The sequence below is a fragment of the Homo sapiens genome, chromosome Y (assembly GCF_000001405.40).
Source record: "Homo sapiens chromosome Y, GRCh38.p14 Primary Assembly".
NCBI classification, from domain to species: Eukaryota; Metazoa; Chordata; class Mammalia; order Primates; family Hominidae; genus Homo; species Homo sapiens.
Window position 1 is genome coordinate 18,761,445 of NC_000024.10, and position 25,085 is coordinate 18,786,529.

The 25,085-nt window shown below is 37.0% G+C and overlaps 1 protein-coding gene and 1 pseudogene across 6 annotated transcripts in view; both read right to left on the reverse strand.

Moving 5' to 3' along the window:
- Positions 1 to 25,085, reverse strand: part of HSFY2 (heat shock transcription factor Y-linked 2) — a 59,325-nt gene that overhangs the window by 30,005 nt on the left and 4,235 nt on the right. Inside the window, exons 1-4 of one of the 6 annotated variants that reach the window (NR_003509.1) lie at positions 11,662 to 12,291; positions 8,739 to 8,848; positions 8,089 to 8,175; positions 6,887 to 7,041 (exon numbers count right to left, since the gene is read on the reverse strand). Coding sequence is in view for 5 of the 6 variants with exons in the window: in NM_153716.2 (NP_714927.1) it covers positions 10,491 to 11,183; positions 11,662 to 12,174 (1,206 nt within the window). In the remaining variant the exon portion in view is untranslated. Of the gene's footprint in view, positions 1 to 6,886; positions 7,042 to 8,063; positions 8,176 to 8,738; positions 8,849 to 10,369; positions 11,184 to 11,661; positions 12,292 to 25,085 lie in introns of those variants that run through there. The other 5 variants (XM_017030031.3, XM_005262508.5, XM_017030030.3 and 2 more) reach the window with 5 other exon arrangements.
- Positions 14,731 to 18,069, reverse strand: USP9YP2 (USP9Y pseudogene 2; annotated as a pseudogene).

Genomic DNA, 25,085 nt, shown 5'->3' on the forward strand with positions numbered 1-25,085 from the left:
CAGCATTCACCTACTGGTGTTATTGTTCAAGGGCAATACCTTGTAGAATGGATTTTTTTTCCACGTACTAATTCATGGACTTTGACTCCTTATTTGGATCAAATCACTACTATGATAGGAAATGGAAGAACTTAGATCATTAAATTACAAGGATATCATCCTGGAAAAATTATTGTCCCCCTTACAAAGACACAAATACAACAGGCTTTTACAAATAGCCTTACTTGACAAACACATTTATCTGACTTTGTATTCTTGATAACCATTTTCCAAAAACAAAATTATTTCAATTTTTGAAATTAACTCATTGGATTCTCCCTAAAATAACCAAATTTAAACCTATTGAAAATGCTAAAAATATCTTCACAGAGGAGTCTAGTAATACCAAAGCTTTTTATTCTGGCTCGAAAGGTAAAGTTTTCTGAATGCCCTATACTTCAGCTCAAAAGTCGGAGCTTGTAACTGTAATTGAGGTATGGACTGCTTGTAATATGCCTATAAATGTGATTTCTGATTCTTCATATGTGGTTCATTCTACACAGTCGGTTGAAAATGCTCAGCATGATTCCACACAGATGAGTGACTGATGAATTTACCCAATTACAAAGAGCAGCTAGGAGTAGAATGCACCCTTTTTACATTACTCATATTAGAGCTCATACATCTCTTCCAGGACCTTTGACTGCAGGGAATCAAATGGCTGACCACCTATTTGCTGCTACAATATCTAATGCCAAACACTTTCACAATTTAACCCATGTTAATGCCTTTGGTCTCAAATGCAGGTCCAGCATTACCTGGAAAGAAGCTAAAGCTATTATCCAGCAATACCCAGCTTGCATTCCTCATCTTTTACAGGAAGAGTTAATCCTTGAGGATTGGAACCTAAGGATCTTTGGCAAATGGATGTCACACATGTTTCCTCATTTGGGAGACTAACTTACGTACATGTATGTGTAAACACCTTTTCTCACTTCGTCTGGGCTACGTGCCAATTAGGAGAGTCTTCTGCCTGTGTTAAATGTCAACTTTTGCAGTGTTTTGTGTTGATGGGCAGTCCAGCTTCTATTAAAATGGACAATGCCCTAGGCTACCCTAATGAAGCTGTAGCGACATTTTTCTCTATATGGAATATTAGACACATAACTTGTATCTCATATAATTTTCAAGGACAAGCCGTAGCGGAAAGAATGAATCTCTCCCTGAAAGAGCAGTTGCAAAAGCCAAAGGGGGAATCAAGGACTACGGGATACCACATAGGAAATTGAATGTAGCATTATTGACTCTAAATTTTTTGAGCCTGTCTAGAGGCCAGATGCTATCAGCAGCTGATCAGCATCTGCAGAAACCAGCTGCAAAGACAGAAGCAGAAAAACTGGTTTGGTGGTGAGATCCAATAACAGAAAATTAGGAAATAGGTAAAATAATAACATGGGGTAGAGGTTATGCTTGTGTTTCTCCAGGACTGATCAACTGCCAATGTGGGTGCTACTGAGATGCCTAAAGCCCTGCTTATGAGCCAGATACCCTGGAAGAGGTGTTAGGAGGATCTCAAAGATCCAGCGGTGGCAGCATTCTCTAAGTTGATGCTGAGGAGTACCCCAACTATCACGAGCAACACGCATTGAACACAGCCACCTACCTGGGGACAGATCAAGAAGCTGCCACAGATGGCAAAAGAAAACCTGAGGAAAGTAGGACAATGAGTCCCCCATATAATGATAGCTATGATACTGGTGATCACCATTGCCATGAGTATTCCTTTGCAGGGCTGACACAGTTACATATGCTTTCTGGTCTCAGTGTTTATCATAATGAATCTGCTCCTAGAATTGAGGCATACTGCCCTCAAGAATCTAATTGTAAACAGAAATAGACACGGCCAGAATAAATGAATGTACTTGTTTTAGAAAATTGCATTGCAGAACATGCAGAGGTGCTCTGCAACGATTCCTATGGAATATTTATTGATTTGTCCCCTAAGGGGAAGTTTAGCTTAAATCGCACCTCTCGGTCTGTGTGCCAAGGCCACACTATGTTCAGCTTGTCTGACCAAAATGGTCAGATGGTAGAAATGGTAAGAGATACAGCAAGAGATCTTCTGGAAACATGGAGGTAAAATGGCACCTCAACAACAAATGATACAACCCGCTCTAGGAGCTAAACATTAGGATTTGTGGAAACTGTTATTGGCTCTTAATAAGATCAAAATTTGGGAAAGAATAAAAAAGCATCTAGAACGGCAATCTGATCAAAATTTGGGAAAGAATAAAAACGCATCTAGAAGGACATTCTACAAATATGTCTTTGGATATTGCAAAATTAAGAAGAGCAAATATTTGAATTATCCCAGGCACGCTTGATCTTAATGCCAGGAACAGGAGTGCTTGAAAGAGCTGTGGATGGATTAGCTGCTATTAACCCATTAAAAAGGACAAAAACACTTGGAGACTCTGATTTAAAGATGATTGTGCTTTAAATCTGTGTTGTTTGTCTTTGTATAGTCTGCAGATGCAGATCCCAAGTCCTGTGAGACGTAGTTCACCGTGATAAAGCCACCTTTGCTTTTATCGAATTGGAAAAACCAAAAAGAGGAATATGTAGAGAACAGACCCCCAAATCTGGCCATAGACAGGCCCCCAAACTGGCCATAAACAAAATCTCTGAAGCACTATGACATGCTCATGATGGGTATGACACTCACACTGAGGGTTGTGGGTTTACTGGAATGAGGGCGAGGAACACCTGGCCCACCCAGGGCAGAAAACCGCTTAAGGCATTCCTGAACCACAAAGAATATCATGAGCGATCTGTGCCTCAAGGACCTGCTCCTGCTTCAGATAACTAGTGAGAACCCAACTCTTTGTCTTCCTTTTTACTGAATCTACAATCTACAGAAACAATGCTTATCACTGGCTTACTGTCAAATATGTGGGTAAAACTCTGTTCATGGCTGTCAGCTCTGAAGGCTGTCAGCCCACTGATTCCCACTCTGTACTTCATAATTCTGTGTGTCTGTCTTTAATTCCTCTAGCACAGCTGGGTTAAGGTCTCCATGACCAAGCTGATCTCAGCAGACTTCTTTGAGATTATTTAAATTTGGTGAAGACTTTATTTTATAAAAATCACTTTATTTTGGGTAAATTATGTCATGCCATATCTTCCCATGTTTTGCATTATGAGATTTGGTTTGCATGGTACTTTAAAAGCCATTCTCAAACTTTCACTTCCTAGGATTTCTAGTTACAATGCAACACCCCATTGTTTCCTCTGAACAACTGAAACACCACAGATGTAAAGACAAAAAACAAGGACAGGATCTGAAAGATAGAAAAAGGAAGACAGTTTGTCTGGGGACATAAGGACTTGCAGAGTGGTATCATGGTCACTTTACTTGGTTTTCCTAGTGTCTTCCGTATATCGCAGATGATGGACTGTAGAAGTTTCCAATCCAGAATCTCCAATAGGCACAGAAGAAAAGGACTTCAAGGAAATCCTCTTCTCTCTCAACCAAAGGACAAGGAGAGGATGACCTAACCACACACAATAGCATGAAACACTTCTAAAGGTAATAACCAAACTATTCCAGATAAACACTACCAGAAAATAATTAATAAATAAAATAAAATAAAATTAACTAGTATTGCCATTTCTGTGGAGCCATGTACAGAGACAGTCTTCTCAACATGTCAGTGATGCTCTCATTCCCCATGAAGTCAAACTAGTCAGCAACTTTTTTTTTTCTTTTCGTTCTTTTTTTGTTGTTGTGTTTTTTTTTTTTTTTTTTTTTTTTTTTTTTTTTTTGAGATGGAGTTTCTTTTTGTTGCCCAGGCTAAAGTGCAATGACACACAATCTCAGCATCTCAGCTCTCTGCAAGCTTTACCTCCCTGGTTCAAATGATTCTCCTGCCTCATCCTCTCAAGTAGCTGGGATTACAGGCATGTGGCACCACACCCGGCTGATTTTGTATTTTTAGTAGAGATGGTGTTTCTCCATGTTGGTCAGGCTGGTCTCAAACTCCTGACCTCAGGTGATCCACCCACCTTGGCGTCCCAAAGTGCTGGCATTACAGGCATGAGCCACTGTGCCCGGCCAGAGAGAATATTCTATCACCCTCCTGGAGAAAGCAGAGGAGAGCATTCTAATTCCCTTATGTCAGCAGACTCCGGTAGCAAGCTGAGCATACAGGTCGACCCAACAACCACAGTTTTTAAAGAGCCAGAGCTAAGTAGGACAGATTGCACTGTGTGTCTTGCCTGCTGTCCCCACTACCCTCCTCTAACCTATCCTGTCAGAAGGCTTCAGTGGGGAGTTAACCATCTACCACAAACCACCCTCCTAGGAACTGAACAGACAAAGTAAATCTAAACTAGTTAGCACTCTGCCATTTCCCCAGATTAGAAACTGTATCATCTACAGCTGCTCCAAAGAACATCAAATGTTTTGATATGCATTTAAACAAAAGAAAACAGGTATGAGATCTGTATGCTGAAGCATATAAAATACTGGTGAAATAAATCAAATAGAAATAATAAGAGATACACGGTGTTCATGGATGTAAAGATATAATATATCATGTTAATTTTCCCCAGCTTGATCTATATATTTGATGCAATTCCTATCAATATCTCAGCAAGAATTTTTGCAGACAATGCAAACTTACTAGGATAGCTAAGACAATTATTAGTGTTTAATATATAGTGGGAGAAATCCATCAACAACATTTCAAAGACTTATTAAACAGCTAAAGTGATCATGACAGTTTAGTATTGGCATAGAGACAGATTCGTGTAAAAAATGGAGCAGAAGAGAAAGCCCAGGAATAGAGCCACACTGGTGTGGATATGACCAGGTAATATGACATAAATCTGGCAAGCAAAAATCAGTGGAGGAAAAACAGCCTTTCAACAAATGGTGCTATGGCATGTGGACATCCATAAATTTAAGAAATAAAGCCTTAACATAAACATTACTCTACACAAATTAACTCAAAATGGCTCATGAACTTCAATGTAATATAAAATTATAAGACATTTTATAAAACATTTTCAGAATAAAAGAATCATAAGAAAATTGAAGCCTCTTAGTTGTAGCAAAGTGTTATTACATTTGATACCAAAAGCATAAACCATAAAAGGAAAACCGATAAACTGGATCAAATCAAAATTAAAAACTATTGCTCTGTGAAAGTTCTTATGAAGACACTAAAAAGCCAGTCTGCTGCAGAAAGGGGTACCCTTCCTGCTGATCCCTGCAGACCATGGGAGGAGAGCAGTACCCTCTCCGCTGGGAGCAGCAGCTGCAGCAGAGAGCTGCAGAGACCTGCAGAGTCATGTAAATGACTTGCCTGCAGAGAGGAGCCTCCCTCTCTATAGAGTGAACACACCATGGGAAGACCTGCCTATAGAGAAGAGCTACCCACTCCTTTGTGAGGTATTGCTCCTCACAAGAGGGCACTAGCTGTAGGGGTCTGCCTGCAGACCCTGACCCAAAAGATGGATGAATAAAGCATAAACTGACAAATATTCTGCTTTGCCAGTACAGCTGGGTGTCCAAGCGCCTGCACATCAAGAAATGTTTTTTACTGTGACCGGCCCTTAGAAGCTTGCACTCCAGTCACTTAGTTAGTATGTGATTAACAACAGAAACTCTGAGTCAGCACACTTGTACATAATTAACATGGTTGAGAGAGTAGTTCTATGAATGATTAAAGCTCAGGTACCGTGGTCTAAAGTAAATTCCATTAAAGGGCAATATCCTTGGTCAACCTTCCTCCAAGAGGGCAATCTGCCTTAAAGGTTAGTTAATGGAGGTAAGGTTAACAAGCTTAAATGGGGAAGCCTCTATTGTCCCTAGTATTTATCCTATGACCTAATGCTCTAAGGTAAGAACTGGCTGCCTTCAGCCTGTTCAATTATTACAAGCTATGTAACCTTTCAGCCTTCCAAAAGGTTTGTGACTATTCCCTATATCTTTCCCTAATATTTCCCTTTAGTATTTCTGCTACCGTCCTGAGTGAACACCAATACTTTGAACTGTTTTAACACTAAATAGAACTCTTCTTCTTCTTTACCCTTCACTTGACTCTCTATCTCATTCTCCCTGCACACAGGACAAGAACTCAAGGAAAGGCATCGTGGTCACAGAGGTTTCTGGCAAGTAAAATTGACACCACAGTGATCCCATAACAGTAGCACTAGAATTTCTGTCTCAGATTTTTACTTGAAAGTTAAACATTTGGGGGACCGTTAGGAGACTCCGGACCATATTTTGACATCCTATTTGTTCATCTGTAGCTGGCTTTGTCTGATACCACCCTAACAGAGGGAAGTGTATACTTGTCAAGTAGGGCCACAATTCCAACTTCCCGTCTTCACTTCCTTTGACACCCAAGGCAGTGCTCCTCATTACTGATAAATAAATATGCAGATTCCAGCTTCAACCTAGGTGTTACTTGTACCTTCCTGGCTAGAAGTGGAAGGGTATCTTGTTACCACACGGCAGGGTTGAAAACTCTAGCTCTCTACTTTACCTTCCCTGATTCCACTCCGGCAGAGGGTTGGGTTGCTTCATTAATGCCTGGTGCTCTCTATGTTCCAACTTAAACTTTGTTGTCCTGGCTAGCTTTTTTGGGTCGTTTTGTTTTGTGTTGTAATGTTTGACGAAAGTAGGATGGCTATTGTACAAAGATTTTTGTCTTAATAAGGTGTCCCTTTCCTAGACCTGTGTCTATAGAGGCTGGAGCTTTTGGGGGACAATTCTGTCTATACCTACTTATATTTGTCGGTACCAGCTCCTTCAGGATCAAGTCTGTGATAACACCAGGCAAAAAGAATTCAGGGAACTCAACCATCTTATCACTTGTTGCATCTTAAATTTCCTCACCAGTTTATCTTCTTGCTCCATCCTTCAGTCTTATGTTTGCTTTATATATATCACGCACGGATATTAATTGCATTTATGTGAGGGAGAAAGTACATCTTCTCCATCTACTTTATTACTCAAGTGATGACTCAAGATGAAGAACGTCCGTGATGTTCCTTTTGGGCAGAAAATTCAAAGTAATTTTTGTTATTGAAACAGTTTAAGCTAGTTTAACCTAGATAGAGAGAGAATACTTAAGAAGGTACAATGTCTTTGTATGAATCCTAGAAGAAGCTAGGATATTTTCTGGGTTAGACTGCTCTGTGATTGGTTACATTAAAATCTTGTAAGGATGTTCCTCAAAATACAAAGAATTTTCCGAGGGTGGGAATGGACAGATTTTCTAATCATGCTGATCACTTTATGTTTTGCATTTGCTTACTCTTTTTCCTCCTTCACACTCTCTCTCCTCCTCTCTGTGCTTATTTTACTGTTGCTTTTGTTGTTTGACACTCGTCTTATTCGGGCCTTAAACTTACAATAATGTATTCCACATGTTAACCTGTCTCATTCCATCTTTCATTACTTTATCCTCACTTTCTAAACTGTCATTTCCTTTTTTCTTTCTTGCCTTGCTGTTCACCCAAGTTATTCTTTTCATTTTTTATTGTGTCTGGCATTAGCCTTTTTATTGTTGTGGATTTCTTTAAGATGAAGTCTTACTCTGTCACCCAGGCTGGAGCGCAAAAGCAGGATCTCAGCTTACTGCAACCTCCGCCTCCTGGGTTCAAGCGATTCTCCTGACTCAGCTTGGCCTCCCAAAATGCTGTGATTACAGGCCTGAGCCACCACCCCAGCCGGAATTTTTTTTTTAAACATTCTTCCTGTTAACCATTTAACCATGTCTATCACACTACCTTCTGAAAACCCAGTTTGAGAACTAAAAAGTTAATAGCATGTGGATATAGGTGAAATGACCTTTGTCTTTCTGTCATGGTCTGCCAGGAAAGGAAATCAGGATTCCCTTTTTAGATGATGGATTCTAAACTTTTTCTACTTATGCACAACTTGGAAATATACGTATATGGTTAGATGGCACCACTAGGTTTCCATCCTGAGGAATCTGGCTGTCCAAATCCATGTTCATTTTCTGCTATCCCAGAAAACTGCATGGTGAATCTTGTCAGACCTTAGCCTGTGACACCAAAAGCTGCATAATATACCAAATCCACAGTGAATGCTGCTTCCGAAAAGTTGTGCAGCTGGATCCCCAGTGTATCCCATTTCATCACAGCAACCAGGAATCTCCACTGCAAATAAAGGAAGGAGTGGTAAGGATACAGCTAGTTCTTTCAGACAAGGACCTGCTACTCAAAGCAGAAGATGAAAAAGAATTTTTAGAAGAAGCAGGGGAAAATCATAACTAGATGTAAAAAGAAAGCATGATAGTCAAAGGGATAAGCAGGGACGCTAGCCTCAGTAAGTCCAAAATATTGCATCTCTAGTGAAGGATACTGTGAGGTACGCTTTTATGATAAGTTGTGGTGAGGAACGAAGAATAACAAATAATGCCTCAATACCAAGAATATGTGTTTTTGACAACGAAAATAGAGTTTATGATTGTAAGTCCGCAGTCAACATCAACTAATTCACATACATGTGTGTGTGTGTGTGTGTGTGTGTGTGTGTGTGTGTATATACACACACACTCACATACATATATGTGTCAGATACTGTATTACATCAGTGCTGGTTGTCCAAGGCACACAGACAGACAAGAAAACTAATATGATAGATGAGAAGCACCTCCTAGAAGGAGTGATATCTGTGTTGTATGAGTCTTAAGTAGGCAAACAGGGAGAGAGCCTTTTACCTCCAAGTAGAAATGGGAGCCTTGTTACCAGATGGTAAAGGGCATGGCTGAAAGTGATGTTCTCCGAATGTTGCTCCAAATAGACTGTGGTGAAACACAAAGACATGAAGCTGAAAGGAAAACAAATATCAGGTCTGGAATGGATTTGTTCAGCCATGCTCATGATCTGGACTCAGAATCTAAAAGTTAATAAATCCTGACAAAAACAATTAAATCTGACTTTGTATGGAGCATGGAACCAACGTGTTGAAAATCTGCATTAGAGGTGGTCTTTGGTGGCTCAAGCTTGTAATCCCAGTGCTTTTGGGGACCATGGTGGGTGGATTACCTGAGGCCAGGAGTTCAAGACCATCCTGGCCAACATGGTGAAACCCCATTTGTACTAAAAGTACAAAAACTAGCCCAGCATCTTGGGCAAATATAATTTTACTTACTCAAAAGATGGAGGTACAAGAATTGCTTGAACCTAGAGGTTGAGGTATCAGTGAGCTCAAATAATGCCACTGCTCTCCAGCGGGGGTAACACAGAGAGACTGTCTCAGAGAAAAAAAAAAAAAAAAACAGAAGGAAATGTGCATTAGAAAACATGAAAAGTGGACTCTAACAGGAGGTAATTAAAGGCACAAACAGGTTGGAATGCTTTGATGTAGGATCAAAAAGGTGTACTGTTAATGCCAGCTGTAAAATTCCACAATGTTCTGACAGTGATGCAATCCATGAGCATAATATGATGTAAACTTTATTATTCAAGTGATGACACAAACAGTTGTGATCGTGGTCACTGAGTTCACTAGGGATGAATTGCAATGAAGACAATCTTTGCCAACTAAAATCCAAGTTTAAAATAACTGGGGAAATGTAATTGAGAAAATACTGAAGTGTATAGTATGTGTTAACTCTTCTCTAAATTTTGTCTGTGTGTGTGTGTTTGTCTGTGTGTATGTGTCCATTTATTCCCTTTGTGCCACTCAAATTTATACCCTCATTTGATTTATGCCAGACTACTTGAGAAGTCACTTATTATTTTTTCCTAACTCCGGTTGCTTCTTCTCCCTTGCCTGCTGTCATTGTTTGGTATGTCACCTCCAAATTTCACATTGAAATTCTGTGTCCATTGTGATAGTGTTGGGAGGTAGGACTTTTAAGAGTTGATTAGCCATGTGGGTGCAACCTCATGACTGACTTGATGGTATTATATGGAGAACAAGTTAGTTATTGTGTGAGTGGCCTTTGGATCAAAGGATGAGTTTGGCCCCGATTTTCTGTTCATCTCATGCCCTTCACCGTAGGAGGCCGACCTGCCATGTTGTAACGTAGAAAGAGGATCTCACCAGATGCAACCCCTTGGACTTCCCCACCTCCAGGAAAGTGAGCAAAATAAGTTTGCTTTACAAATTACCCAGGCAGTGGTATTGTGTTGTTTCAGCAGAAAATGGACCACAAAACTTTATTATTTCTTCCTCTTTAGAGAGATAAATTATTTAACTTACAAAGGCACATGTCAAATTTGCTTTCAAAGGATCAAAAAGCCCATATATATTTTTGCTAAAAAGTAGTACAATAGCCTCCCACTGAAACAAAATGTCATTTTTTTCTTAACCATACTTTTAGAAATAAAGGAAAAGCAAACATAGAAGTAAACATGCAATTTTATTGTTCAATAAGATAATTGCAGAAATTTTTAGGGTTTTTTGTCAATGTAAATGTTAGTCTCTGTTGTCATTCATAATCTGGTCCTCTTTTAATGGCAGATCAGTTGTAATTAGGGTGATATTTGTCCAGTGGTGATGGTTGAAGAGCTAGCCTGGAATGAGGGGCAGCTGATCTATCAGCGATCGTAGGCATTTGCAACCACGGGTTGCCTGCTGGTAGCATGTTACGATATGGAGCCTCATTGACTGATACCAGAGGATATCGTGTGGGAACAGCAGATGGTTCCACTGTCAGCCCAAAATAACCATTTTGTAAGGGAGATATGATGTGGTATTGAGAAGTTGTGGTTGTAATAAAATTCACAATGTGGCCCCTTGCTTGCATGTAGGTACTATGAGAGTGCATATGAATAGTGGTCAACTGATTTAAAATAGCATGTTGATCTGTTGCAATTTGTTCTGATGGTCCAACTGAGGTTGAAGGTGAAGGAGGAGGGAAACCACTTCTAATGGGGACAGATGAATTTGCAATTATCTGTCTGACAGAAGATTCCCTTGTTAGAGGCATATTTAAATTTTTAGAGGCTGAAAATAAACTTTCTTCACTAGCTTCAGCAGCTAAGGCAGAATTATGATTCTCCATGTTAGCCCCTGCTCTAAAATGCTTCTTGTTGAAATCTTCGTTGAATAAAGTAGATATAGGTGAAGCATTTTTAACACCAATTCTTCTCTTCACTCTTACTAAAAGTTGGGGATAGCCACGCTTGAAATTTGGATTATAATAGAACTTTAACTAAAACCAAAGAAAAACATAATTCAGTGCCATTTTAAGCCAAGAGACAAGTGAAAATAACAAACATAACACATCAAATATCAGATTTCTCTTTCATCACACAAATTTAATGTCATCAAATAACTCATAAACATCGTTTACTATTTTTAAGAATGTGCTTATTGTGAAAAACCACTCAAGTTGTTAAGCCCTCAAGTGAAAACATGTTATATATTAATAGTAATATTTCATTAAGTGGCTTTGGTACATTTATTTGGAATTCACTGGTAAGATTCAAAGTTGTTAGCAAAATTTCTTAAAACACTAAAAGGTTAACGCTCAAGCTGAACACAATAATTTCAAAACAAAATTTCTACCTTAATATTTTATATAATTTTCAAAAGCTGGTCTTACTGCATGTATTAACATATTTACTGATGTACAAAGTAAAATTACATATATACTTTACATAAAGTGGTAACTCAAATATGTCAAATACCTTGCTTAAGACAGACGATTCTTTCTCTTCTGACAGAAAGGTGGCTAGAAAGGCAGATCTTTGAAAATTCTGTTGAATTTTACTAAATCCATAAAGGTTGAGCTGTCGAACAAAACTTTTGATAGCATCAGTTTGAAATATTCTGTAAGGAGCCTTTGTTTCCAAAATTTCTTTCTTGAAGAGTTCTTCATTAATCACTATGCAAGTTCCATTCTCATCCCATGAAATAGACTTGAATTGGTCACTTTCCACTATTTTCCAAAGTTTCCTGGGAAAGTTCAGAGAAAGAAAATCATCATCTTTATCTGGCTCAGAGACACAAACTGTGTAACTTGGACTTTCTAACAAGGATCCTTGTGACAAAACCTGAAAAGCATGTTCTTCAATCATTGACCGTAAGTCTGAGTCCCCAGGGAAGGTGTGTTCACACAATGGAGACCTAGTGGAGGCTTCTGAAGCAGTTAATTCATCTTTGGGGGAAACATCTTGAGTTTCTGAAGAAACATGTGCCATCTCAAATAAATATTTCTTTATCTACTCTTCCGGCCTGCATGGTTTTCAGGACTGCAGCTTCAAATGCTGCTTCAGAAGGCCTAAGCATGTACACTTATCTAGACCATCACAATGGTTCCCAAACTGAGTAACAATGACATCACAAGGGGACTTTGGTCTCCTAGCAACCAACAAAATTCTAGCCCAAAGGGTTTCCTTCCCAATCTGAGAAATGTATCCAGTGAAAATAAAATATAGACTGCTCACTTACACAATGTAAGCTGCAAAAATCTCTTGCCTGCATCATTATTTAAATAAATAAGGAAATAATGTCCTCAATCCCTGAAATAAATCCAATGTTCTTCCTGACACACTCATTATAACTAGATTGGTGTGAGGAGCACAAGGCCTAGTAATTGCAAAATGCAAAAAAATAAAATAAAATAAAGGAAAGAAAAAGAAATATGAATGATTTTAAAACTAGTTTGGCATGTTGGATTGAAAACTGATGCAATGCTAAACCTGTGTGGTAAAAAGACATGGCCATAGAGATAAAAGGTAGGTTACGGGTTGTCAGGGGCTGGACAATAAAAAGAACTGTATAATAGATATGGAGTTTCTGGTTGGGCAATAGAAATATTTAGGAACTATTGATAGATGATGATCGTATGACATTATAAACATATTTAATTCCATTCAATTATACACTCAAATGTAATTTTATGTTATTTGAAACTTACCTTCAAAAGTTAAGGTGAAGACAAAGATGAATAAAACTAACTGATTATATTTCAGAATGAAACGTTATATTTATGCATATCTCTTCAAAACATGTTTCAGTCATATCAGAAGAATATATAATGATTTAATTTGGTATGTCTCTAAATATCTGACAAATGTTAAAGATGAAAGAGATTTTAAAAGCGGGTGACTTACTTGTAAGGGGATCCCAAAGAGTGGGAGATTAAAAAAATAATAAAAATAAAAATATTGAGAAAATGTTTTAAGAAAAGTAAATATGTATGTGTGTCTAAGCAGCATATTTTTTTTTTAATTTGGCTCCAAGAACCAAATCTCTATTAAAGAATAGATTTTGTAAGGAATAATCTTTGTGCCATGCAAATAATGGTATCATTATAAAACAGGACTTGAATTTGTGAAATAATTTTAGTATTGAGTAAAATAACCATGGATCATTTACAGTCAGAATTTTTATATGTTCATGGTTGACAGTTGGTATATTAAAATTCGAACTCCTTAGCATTGGTAAGTGTTGAATATGTGTGGAAGAAAGAAATATAGTATTGATATTTCTCATACTGTAGGAGGCAGTTCTCTCATACTGGAAAGAGGAGTCATTGTTAGAAAATTGCCTTGGTTTAATATAGTTTAGGTTTTGTTTTTTTGTGTGTGTGCCTGTTTAATTCAGAATTTTCTGTATTAACATTATGTAACAAAAATGTTCAAATCAGTAAACTCTGTGAAGATGAAACAGGTGCCCCTACCAGATGCATGTGGTTTCTCAATTTTGACAGTTTTTTAAAATTAAAAAAGTGCAAAATTAAAATTTTTTTTTTTTTTGTTCTTCTCAGGAATTTTCATGTTGCTCTAGCTGAAGGGAGTACAGACTTCTTTTGTGATGCGAGAGGATGAATGATTACTGAGAGCAGCAAAAGATAGGACATGGGTGTGGAGGAAAGAGGGAGTTAATAGGAGAATCAGAAGACAAAATCACATTAAATGTAGGATAATCTAAGACAAATTGTGGCTGAGCATTTTGGGGAGCTAAGATAGGTGACAGTTTAGGGAGGAAGAATGCCTTGGTGTGTTCAGGGGGAGATGGCTCAGCTAAAGGTGTCCCCTGACTCCAAACTGGAAGCCTACTTTTAGTCATAAAAAAGCAAGAAAATAAGAAATTTTATATGAAAAACATAAATGTTCAGTAGGCTGTATCCACTTAGCTATAAAAAAGAATAAGATGTCTGTCTGATCTTCTTAGTGACAGCCTGTGCTACCCATGTTCTTGCCGCTTCAGCCTCCCAATTAGCTGGTTCTGCAGGAAACGCCTAGTAGGCTCAGATAATTATTCAATTTAATGAATTATTTTAATTTTTTTAGAGACAGAATCTTGCTATGTTGTTCAGGCTGGCCCGAAATTATAGGCTTGAAGTGATCCACCCACCTTGGACTTACAAATTGCTAAGGTCACCAGTGTGAGCCACGATATCTTCCTATTTCTTAAAAAGCTTTTGTGGAGATAGTGTTTCACATTTTGCCAAACCAGGTTCAAAATTCCTGGCCTCAAGCATTCTTTTTGCCTTGGCCTTCCAAATTATTGGAATTACAAATGTGAGGCAAAAAATGTCATCTAAAATATGTTGTATCTTTTTAATTGTCACTTAATATTTTATCTAGTAAAGGTAAAACTTCATACTTAATGATAAAGTGGAAAAAGGTGTAATATAAATGTATTGGAGTAGAAGCCAATTTTTACATAATAAACACACATTTAGATTAGACAATTTTAAATGTACTAAGAATTCTCTCACAATTACTGAAAAAAAGTTTATGCATATTTAAAATCTGAAATAATATTTTTATGGTTAGGAAAATGTAAAGCAGGATAATAGACAACCAAACCAATTATAAGTTCCCTGTGAATAAAATCCAAAGCCAAATACCAGTCACTGGCAGGACCACAAGCTATTTTTTTAATGTAAAATCCAGTGGTAATGAGGAATATAGGTGCAAACTGTATGCTAATGATAGTCATTTAATTTGATGCAGGCAGAAAAATAATTCTGCTCTAAATAAAAAGTATATATACAGTCAAAAACATTTGTATTTTCAAGCTCTTTCTTAATAAAATTTTTGCTAGGTAAGACCAATTTTCAGTGATTATCCTGCCGCTTCACTAACCCGCATTTCAAGCTCATGCTTCAGTAAAAAATAATAATTTGTGTAATAAATAAAAGTGCTTCATATTTCCATACATAAAGTCCACTATTTTAAGGTACAGACATCTTAATTTTTTCTTACTTTGAAATAACTAAAATAGAAAGGCTACACATTCACATAAATTAAGGCTAATGATGCCATGAAAAAAGCTAAAAGAAGACTGAAGAAAAGTATTAAACACATGTTGATGCCTTGTAAAGAATCATACAAGCCAAGCATACATTATTTTTATTACTAAGAAGGTAATCAAAAAGCTTATCATGAACAGGACTTCAATAAACACCAATATATATAAGCAGTTCTTTCACAAACTGCAAATGCTCTCAACTTTATTGCTTTCACTTTTGCGTAAGTGTCACATTTTGTTAGTATACACTTTTCTCAAAGGCTGGTGACATAATAATGTGATGAGGTCTCACAAGAGTTAGCCATAATATATATCTTATCATCTCATCATCTTCATCTATCATGTCCATTTGTTTATTGTTTGAAAATTATATAAGCAATTTACCAGCTCTTTTACCGTCTATGTGACATGCACTTCAGCGTATGATCAAATATATTTATGTACTCTCCATCCAAACACTGATTTTTAAAATTTCTTGATCATCATCCATTTTAAATTCTGCTAAATCTTCATCATCAAATTTATACCAGGAATCGCAGTCATCATCCTACCATTGTTTGAATAATATAAGAATAATAATACCCACTGCTTGCTAGACCACTGTGTACAGGCACATCTGCAAGTCTGTATTTTGTGATCTTTGTAGTTTTATTTTCAGGTTACTCTTTCTGTTGAATCAACTGATTTTCTGACTTGAAATTATTCTGTTCCAGCTTTGCAATGCATGCTGCTGTGTAAGGTCCCATATCCAGCTCCCAAGGAAATTCAAAATAATCACCGAATGTAATTGCACATTATTTTAGTCGTACTCAAATCATTTGTGTTGGCCACAGAAACAAAAGAAAATTATTTAAATAGCAAGTGCTTAACTGTGTTAACATACCATAAACAGAGAACAGGTACAAATGTTCTCATTTCCTGAACAAACATTAAAACAATTTAATGATAATTTTAAAGTTTATAATCTTTTAAATTTATTTTAAAAAGAAAAGTAAATAATCATTAACATCATTAGGGTAATTATGCCATAACTAACTTAAGCAATACTTTCTTACCAAAGCTTAAAATATTTATATATAGCAATCCTTTGGTATCTGTAGGGGATTGGCTCCAGAACCCTCTTAAATACTATAATTTGTGTCTGCTCAAGCTTCTGATTTACAATGGTGTAGTATGTAAATATAATGCACCCACATCCTCCTGTGTAGTTTACTTTAACTTTGCATAAATCATTAGTAAAATGTAAATGTTATGTAGACAGTTATAATCTAATGGCTTTTAAATTTGTTACATTTTACTGTAGTATTGTTTTTGTTTTCAAACATTTTAATATATGTTTAGAGAAATCTATGTTTGAAGAACGTGTGTATGTAAAAAGTCTCTTATTTGTTGCACACCAGAAAACATTACTGACACAGACACTGATGGCTATGTGGTTCCATATAGCCACTACTATCTGTGTTACTTCTCTAATGTTTTCTTGTATGCGATTAAGCAGAATTTGGTGTGAATAAACTAAAGATATATAGTAAGCAATAATAATAGCAGCTAATACTTATAGTGCTTAAAGACAAGGTAATACATTAAAAAGCCGCACACATATTAATAAATTTAATCCTCACTGTCCATTTTGTGTGACAGAGTTTCACTCTCTTCACCTAGGCTATATTGCAATGGCAGAATCTCGCCTCCCTGCAACCTACACCTCCCAGATCCAACCTACACCTCCCAGATTCAAGCGATTCACCTGTCTCAGCCTCTCCAGTAGCTAGTATTACAGGCATCTGCCACCATACCTGGCTAATTTTCATATTTATAGTAGAGATGGGGCTTCACCCTGTTGGCAAGGCTGTTCTGTCTGTCTTATAAAAAGGTAAAACCTATATATAATTAATTTAAAAGGTGTGGATTGAGTGGCAGGTAGGGTGAAAAGCAATTGTTTCAAGTCTCAGAGGTGTAAATAGCAAGCAGTATGATGTTAAAAATAAACCACAATTTAAATGGCAGGTAAGTGCGAAATAATGCAGGCAGCTTGGAGGTCAGATGTTATGAAGGTCAAGAAAGACATACATGTTATTTAACATATAATATCTTCAAATATATTTTACCATTACATCTCCCAATCAAATTGCAGAGAAATAAAATTAGCTGGTTAGGCCTAAAGAAAGAAATCTGTTTGTGAAACAAGTGGTTGTTAAAATTTGTTGTAACCCCATAAAATTAAGGAAGTTTTTCGCTTTTAGACTTATAAGTTTTTGCTTATAGTATAGATGTATCTATACTAGAAAGAGAAAAATGCTTTCTTCTGTCAACTCTTCAAGATTCAATCATTAAATTGCAATTTATTTTAGAGTAGGGATGAAAGCAATCTGGGAGATTATTTTACATCCAAAATTATTAACCTAGTAAGAATCACTTTTTTTCCCTAGTCAGTCACTCTATTTTGTCAATAGCATTTCCCTTTAAACAAGTTATCATCTTGACTACCTCTCTGATACCACTAAAAGAGTAAAGAGAAAGCAGAAGTTAATTTTTTGCATGAGCACAAACACTTCTAATGTCTTCTGGTTGTGTTCAAAGAGATAATTTTTTTTTTCAAAGCTGAAAAAAACGTACTTTTTATCACATTTTACAATGATGTGCATTTGCACCTTCCATTTGATATCCTATTCCCAAGAATCAAGAACATTTTGATGACTGTTAATGTCCCCATTTAAAGTTGTAAAAGATTTCTCACGTTTGTATCAAAAGATAGTATTTAAAATACAAATTATAAAATATATTCTTTACTTCTTTTTCCTGTGAGGACAGGTTATTTCCTTGTCACTGAAGCTAAAATGCACGGCACAATTCCAGTTCACTATGGTCTCAAACTCTTTGGCTTCAGTTGGGGTTTCCTCAACCAGTATTCATCTGTGTCTTCTTAGGAACTGGGCTACACATCAGCAGGTGAGCGGTGAACAAGTACGGAAGCTTTATCTCTATTTAAACCACTATGTATGGTGCATATTACTGCCTGAGATCCACTTTCTGTAAGTTCAGTGGCAGCATCAGATTTTTATAGAAGTGAGAGCACAACTATTAACTGCACATGCAGGAAATTTAGCTTTTGCACTCTTTATAACAATCAAAAAACTGATCACCCGTAACTGTCTCCCATCACCCACAGAGAAAACAATCTAGCTGCAGGAAAATAAGTTCAGGGCTCCCACTGATTCTACATTATGGTGAATTGTATAATTATTTCATTAAATATTATAATGTAATAATAACAGTAATAAAGCAAAAAAACAATGCGGGGCACTTGAATCTTTCCAAAACTGTCTCCACAACGCCAGGTCATGAAAAATCTTGTCTTCACAAAACCCATCCCTGGTGCCAAACTGTTGCAAATAATCACACGTAGATGTACGCACACATAAATTTTTGAGTGAAAGTTTTGAAGACAGAAGCTCAAAGTATTATTATAAGTTCAAAGAACAAGAACAGAAACATTGACTAGATTGCAGAAAAAGGAGTGTTTTGAATAGAGAAAACTAATGAAAATAACTTGTTACCCAGTAATGTGATGGCTGGGTCAAATGGTATTTCTAGTTCTAGATCCCTGAGGAATCGCCACACTGACTTCCACAATGGTTGAACTAGTTTACAGTCCCACCAACAGTGTAAAAGTGTCCCTATTTCTCCACATCCTCTCCAGCACCTGTTGTTTCCTGACTTTTTAATGATTGCCATTCTAACTGGTGTGAGATGGTATCTCGTTGTGGTTTTGATTTGCATTTCTTTGATGGCCAGTGATGATGAGCATTTTTTCATGTGTCTTTTGGCTGCATAAATGTCTAAGTCATGCTGCTATAAAGACACATGCACACGTATGTTTATTGCGGCACTATTCACAATAGCAAAGACTTGGAACCAACCCTAATGTCCAACAATGATAGACTGGATTAAGAAAATGTGGCACATATACACCATGGAATACTATGCAGCCATAAAATATGATGAGTTCATGTCCTTCGTAGGGACATGGATGAAATTGGAAATCATCATTCTCAGTAAACTATCGCAAGGACAAAAAACCAAACACCGCATGTTCTCACTCACAGATGGGAATTGAACAATGTGGGAATGCATGGACACAGGAAGGGGAATATCACACTCTGGGGACTGTTGTGGGGTGGGGGGAGGGGGGGAGGGGGGGAGGGATAGCATTAGGAGATATACCTAATGCTAAATGACGAGTTAATGGGTGCAGCACACAAGCATGGCACATGTATACATATGTAACTAACCTGAACATTGTGCACATGTACCCTAAAACTTAAAGTATAATAATAATAAAAAAAAGAAGAGAGATGAAATAAATTCTCAAAGAAGGATTGCAAAAAAAAAAAAAGAAAGAAAATAAATTGTTGACACAAGAAAAAACAAGAGTGAGGGATATGTGAGGATAAAGAACTGAAATATGTAAATTAGAATTATATATGCAAATCATACTCATAACGTAGGCTTACAGTTTAGCTATGAAATTTAGAAACTTATACTGAAAGTTATAATGGGAAGTCAGTGCATTACTGGTGCACTAATGACTTTTAAAAGAAATCTAAGTGATATTCTAGTACATAGAAGTGGAACTGCTGTGAGTGAAACAGAAGGCAGCCCAGAAATCAGAAGATCCCTTTTTCTTCCTGTCTCTGAGCTATCTAAGAACTACCTTCTTGAAAGAACAGTAAACTCTTATGAAGGGGTGCAGCTTCTTCTATAAACTAGAAAGAGCTATGTACTACATCATATAATAAAAAGTTGTGCAACAGTGTTTTATTACCATACATGCCACAAATGTGGCCTTGATAAAATGAGTGAAACAAAGGAAAAAAAAATTAAGATGTTATTAAGCCATTTTTTTCTCTGTGTGTGTGTGTGTGTGTGTGTGGTTGTGTGTGTAAGTTTTGTGTGTGTGTGTGTGGCATGTGTTCTCTTCATTACTCAGTCTGCAGAGTAGCAAAACAATTACAGCTCAGGGGATGTTTTCACCTCAGTGTCAAAGGTAGATGAGATTACTTGTGCAGACCATAACATTCAGCCATTCTACTGCATCTTAGTAATGATGGGATATCAGCATGTGCCTCAGGCTTTTTTTTTTAACTCCTGAGATCAAGTAATCTACCTGCCTTGGCTTCCCAAAGTGCTAAGGCTATCAGTGTGCATGACTAAGCCTGGCCCAATTGAACATTTTCAAATCTAAAAACGGACCAAGTGTTATTGGTCACTTTTGTAAAAGGCTCAAAAATTATGATTACATTCAGGCTTGCAAAACATATATGTATATTATATAGAGTTATATATTATGTATTTACATATAAGTATATCATATAAATATATTTTCTTGCAGGACTAGGAAGCAGTACTTTTTTGTCAGTGACTAAAATATTCATTTGATAATAAAAATGTTTATTTGATGATGAAAATGTTGACTTTTGAGGTGACTATTATACAAAATCTCAAAGATAAATGTTGCTCTACAAACTAAAAGACATCATTGATGAACTACTCTAACTTGAACAATGTAATGAAGAAAGTGTAAACAAATATCAAAAGTTAACAAATGAAATGGTATTTTATCTTTCCAAGTAGCTGATACTACAAGGCTGATATCACGACACTTGAATAATTTTTGTATTTTTTTGTAAGGACAGGGTTCTGCCCCTTTTCCCAAGCTTGTAAACTAATTTGTATTATGTGTGATAACAGTGCCCTGGTCATATTTTTAAAAAATATTTAGAGTTGCCTTAAAATATCCATAGAGATAAAAATATGTACTTGACAATTGCTTCATCTGAGAACTTTTAAATCAAAGAGATGACTTCATTTTTATATTTTGATTATATAGATTATAAATTGTCTTATATTAAGAAGTTAATGACACCTTAAGAGATCAATAATATAGTGCCTGTCTCTGCTGTGACAATTTTAACCTTTTCCTATTAGGATAATAATAATAAAAATGACCGAGAAAGACAGCTAAAATATTACTATTGTTTAAATATTGCCCATCAAATAAATTATGTATTTTAAAGATATATTTTAAAAATTTAATGTACATATGATTTCATCAAAATTAAACTGATAAATCACCCATAATTTACCTGAACCTCTTCTATCCTTTTTTGTTTTATCCCTGTAACCGAGAATGTGGTAAGTGTGGGTTTGTGTGTTTCGGCGCTGTTTCTGTTAGCAATCTTTCGGGTTCACCATTAAGTGGGTCCTGAGTTCTTGACACATATCCAGGCACAATGAGGTATGTGAACAACAGGAGAATAATCAAGGTAAATAGATGCTTCATTGAGTGAAAGTACAGCTCTCAGGAGACAGAAAGCAGGTAACTCCATTTCAAAAACAGGACATACCTGCATCTGTGCAACACTCACTGAAGACAGAACCAATAGTGACCAGCTTCAGTGGAAAAGTAGGTTGTTAAAACATCTCTGAAGTCCTCAGTGGAGAGAAGTTTCAGAGTGGGTAGCTTCTATCTGCAGGAATGTTGTTGAAATGCATCTGCAGCTTTAAGTTTGGAGGAGACCTATCTATTTGCAGCCATGCAATCCCAATAAGTGTACACCTCACAGCGGAGAGGTGGCACACACTTGGTAAATCTACGTTAAGTCAGGTTGAGGTTGAAAGTTCGAGACCAGCCTGACCAACATGGAGAAACCCTGTCTCTAATAAATATACAAAATTAGACAGATGTGATGGTGCATGCCTTTAGTCCCAGCTACTCAGCAGCTGAGGCAAGACAATCGCTTGAACCTGGGAGGCAGAGGTTGCAGTGAGCCGAGGTCACACCATAGTACTCCAGCCACGGCAACAAGAGCGAAACTCCATCTCCAAAAAAAACAAAATAAAAATAAATCAATACAAGTAAAAATAAATAAATACAAATATAAATAAATACATATGTAATTAAATAAATAACCTAAATAAGTATGGAATATATATGGACCTCAGAATGCACATGGGCAGAGAGAATGGGCTGGTTGGTCCATGGGTGGAGATGGCTGAAAAAGAAAAAGATGTGTAAACCTAAAAATGACCCCTAATACTAATGCTGAAACACTAACAATAACCCTCAAGCCCTAATCCTAATCCTCACATAAACCCAACCTGCACCATTAACAAAACATATCCCTAACCCTAAATGTAACTCTACCCCTACTTATAACCCTAAACATACACCTACCACTAAACCTAAACCTACTAAAACCCTGAATCTACCCTAAACCATAACACTCACCAAAACCCTAACCTAAATACTAAACCAAACCCTAAATCGAACACTAACTGTAAACTCTGAACACTAATCCCAACTCTAACTCTAACCCCAAAAGCTACCTTCAAAACTAACCCTAAAAGCAACCTTAATTGTAACCATAAAACTAAAACTCTAACCTTAAAAATGTAAGTCCAACATCTAACCAATATCCCTAATCCAAACTTCTACCCCCTAACCCTAATTCTAACAATTCATTGACCATAACCCTATCCTTAAAACACTGACACTAACACTAACCCTAACTCTAACCCACAACATCAAACGCAACCCCAACCATAACCCTAACTTTAACCCCAATGCCAAAAACAACCCAGACCTTAAGCCATAACACTAAACCCAATTCCAACCCATAACCCTAAACATGACACTGACACTGATGCAAAAGTAGTGCTGAGCCGACCTTAACCAAAACAAAAAAAAACTCAAACCCTAACACAAAAAACCCTAACTCTAATGCTAAACTATAACCCTACCACTACCATTACCTCACCCAAACCCTAACTGAAAAACTAGCCCTATAATTCTAAGCCTAGCACTATAAAACTAACCAAAACACCAAACTTAACCCAAACACAGATACACAAACCTAAACCCTAGTAATAAACCATAATCCCAAACATAACCTACACCAACGCTACACCAACCCTAACTACAAACCTAATCCTTAACCATAACCCTAATGGAAACCCAATTCCTAACCCCAAACCTAAAACCTTAACTGTAACCCTAAACCATCTGCAATGCCAGCCATAACTCTAAACACTGAAACCAAACACTAACACTCACCCAACCAAAACCCTAATCTTAAATACTAACATGTAACCCTAATCCTTAACGCAAGCCTAATGCTAAACCTAACCCTAAGCTCTAATTCTGACCTTGACCCTAAATGCAAACACACCACCAACTGCAAACAAACACAACCACTAATTCCAAAATCCTAAAGCTGACAACAACCCTAAAGACTAATCCATAACAATAAAACCTAACCTAAACTCTAACATGTAATGCTGAACCCAGATGCTGACCTTAACGCTAATTAAAGCCTAAAACTAAGCTTCACCCTAACCACTAAGTTTAACATTAAACCTATGCCATAACCCTAACCCATTAACCCTAAACCTAATCGCTAACCATAGCCCTATCCTGTAACACTAACACTAACCCTAACCCTATGCATACTCCAACCGCAACTCAACCCAAAACCTAACACTATCCCTAACCAAAGCCATCAGCTTAAAAAATAAACCTAACCATAATCTTAACATAAACATCACCATAATCCTGAAACTAAAAGTAGGAATCAATGCTAACACAAAACCTAACATTAAACCTAAGCATACACACTAAACCCTCAACCTAGCCCTCACAATTAACACTAACCCTAAGCTAAAACCTCTACCAGTAAACCTAAACCTAAAGTTAACCCAAAATATTACACCCACCCCTATTTTCACAACTAATCATAACCATAACACAAACACTAAGATGTAAACCTAATCCTAAACCTAAAGTTAACCCAAAATATTACACCCACCCCTATTTTCACAACTAATCATAACCATAACACAAACACTAAAATGTAAACCTAATCCTAGACCTAAATGTAACCCCTAACACTAACCTTAACTCCCAAAAGCCCTAACACTAATCCTAACCCAAATAACCTAGAACACTAACCCTAGCCATACCCTAAACCCTGATATTAAACCTAATACTAAACATTGATTTTAGCCTAATCATAAACCCTAACCCAAACACGTAACCCAAACAGTAATCTGACCCTAGCTTTAACACTAAAATCTAAATCCAAACTATGATCCTATACAATAAATCCAGTCCCAACATTAACCTTAAGCTCTAACCCTTAACCTAACCCAACCCTAAACCTAACCCTAACCCCTTATCCTAGAGTTCTAAACTCTAACACTATGCCAAACCCTAACCCCTTATCCTAACCCTCAACCAACCCTAAACCTAAACCTAAGTGCTAAACAATAACCCTAAAACTAACACTGAACCCTAAACACTAACCCTAATGCTAACCTGAAACCCTAACCAGGACCTGAACTCTAAACCCTAAACCAAATCCTTATTCTTATCCTAACACCAACAGTAAACCAAACCCTAACGCTAATACACTAACCCTCTTACCCTAACCCTTACTGTCGCCTTAGTTCTCACCCTTAGCACTAACCATAACCCTCACCATGGAGTTAACCCAGAACCTAACCCTCCACTAACCCCAACATCTAACTGTAAGCCTATCTCTTACCCTAAGCCTAAGCATAACCTGACCCAAACCTAACTTCTAATCCTGATTCTAACTCTAGCCCTAAACGTTACCTTAACCTCGACAACGGTCCCAAATTCTAATCCTAACCATAACCCTAATCCTACCACCACACGAACCTTTAAGTCAACCCCAGACCTAACCCTCAATCTAACCTTTTTTCTGCAATTGTAAACCCCTATTCCTAATCCCAAACTTCTCTCCCATCCTTAGTATTACCATAT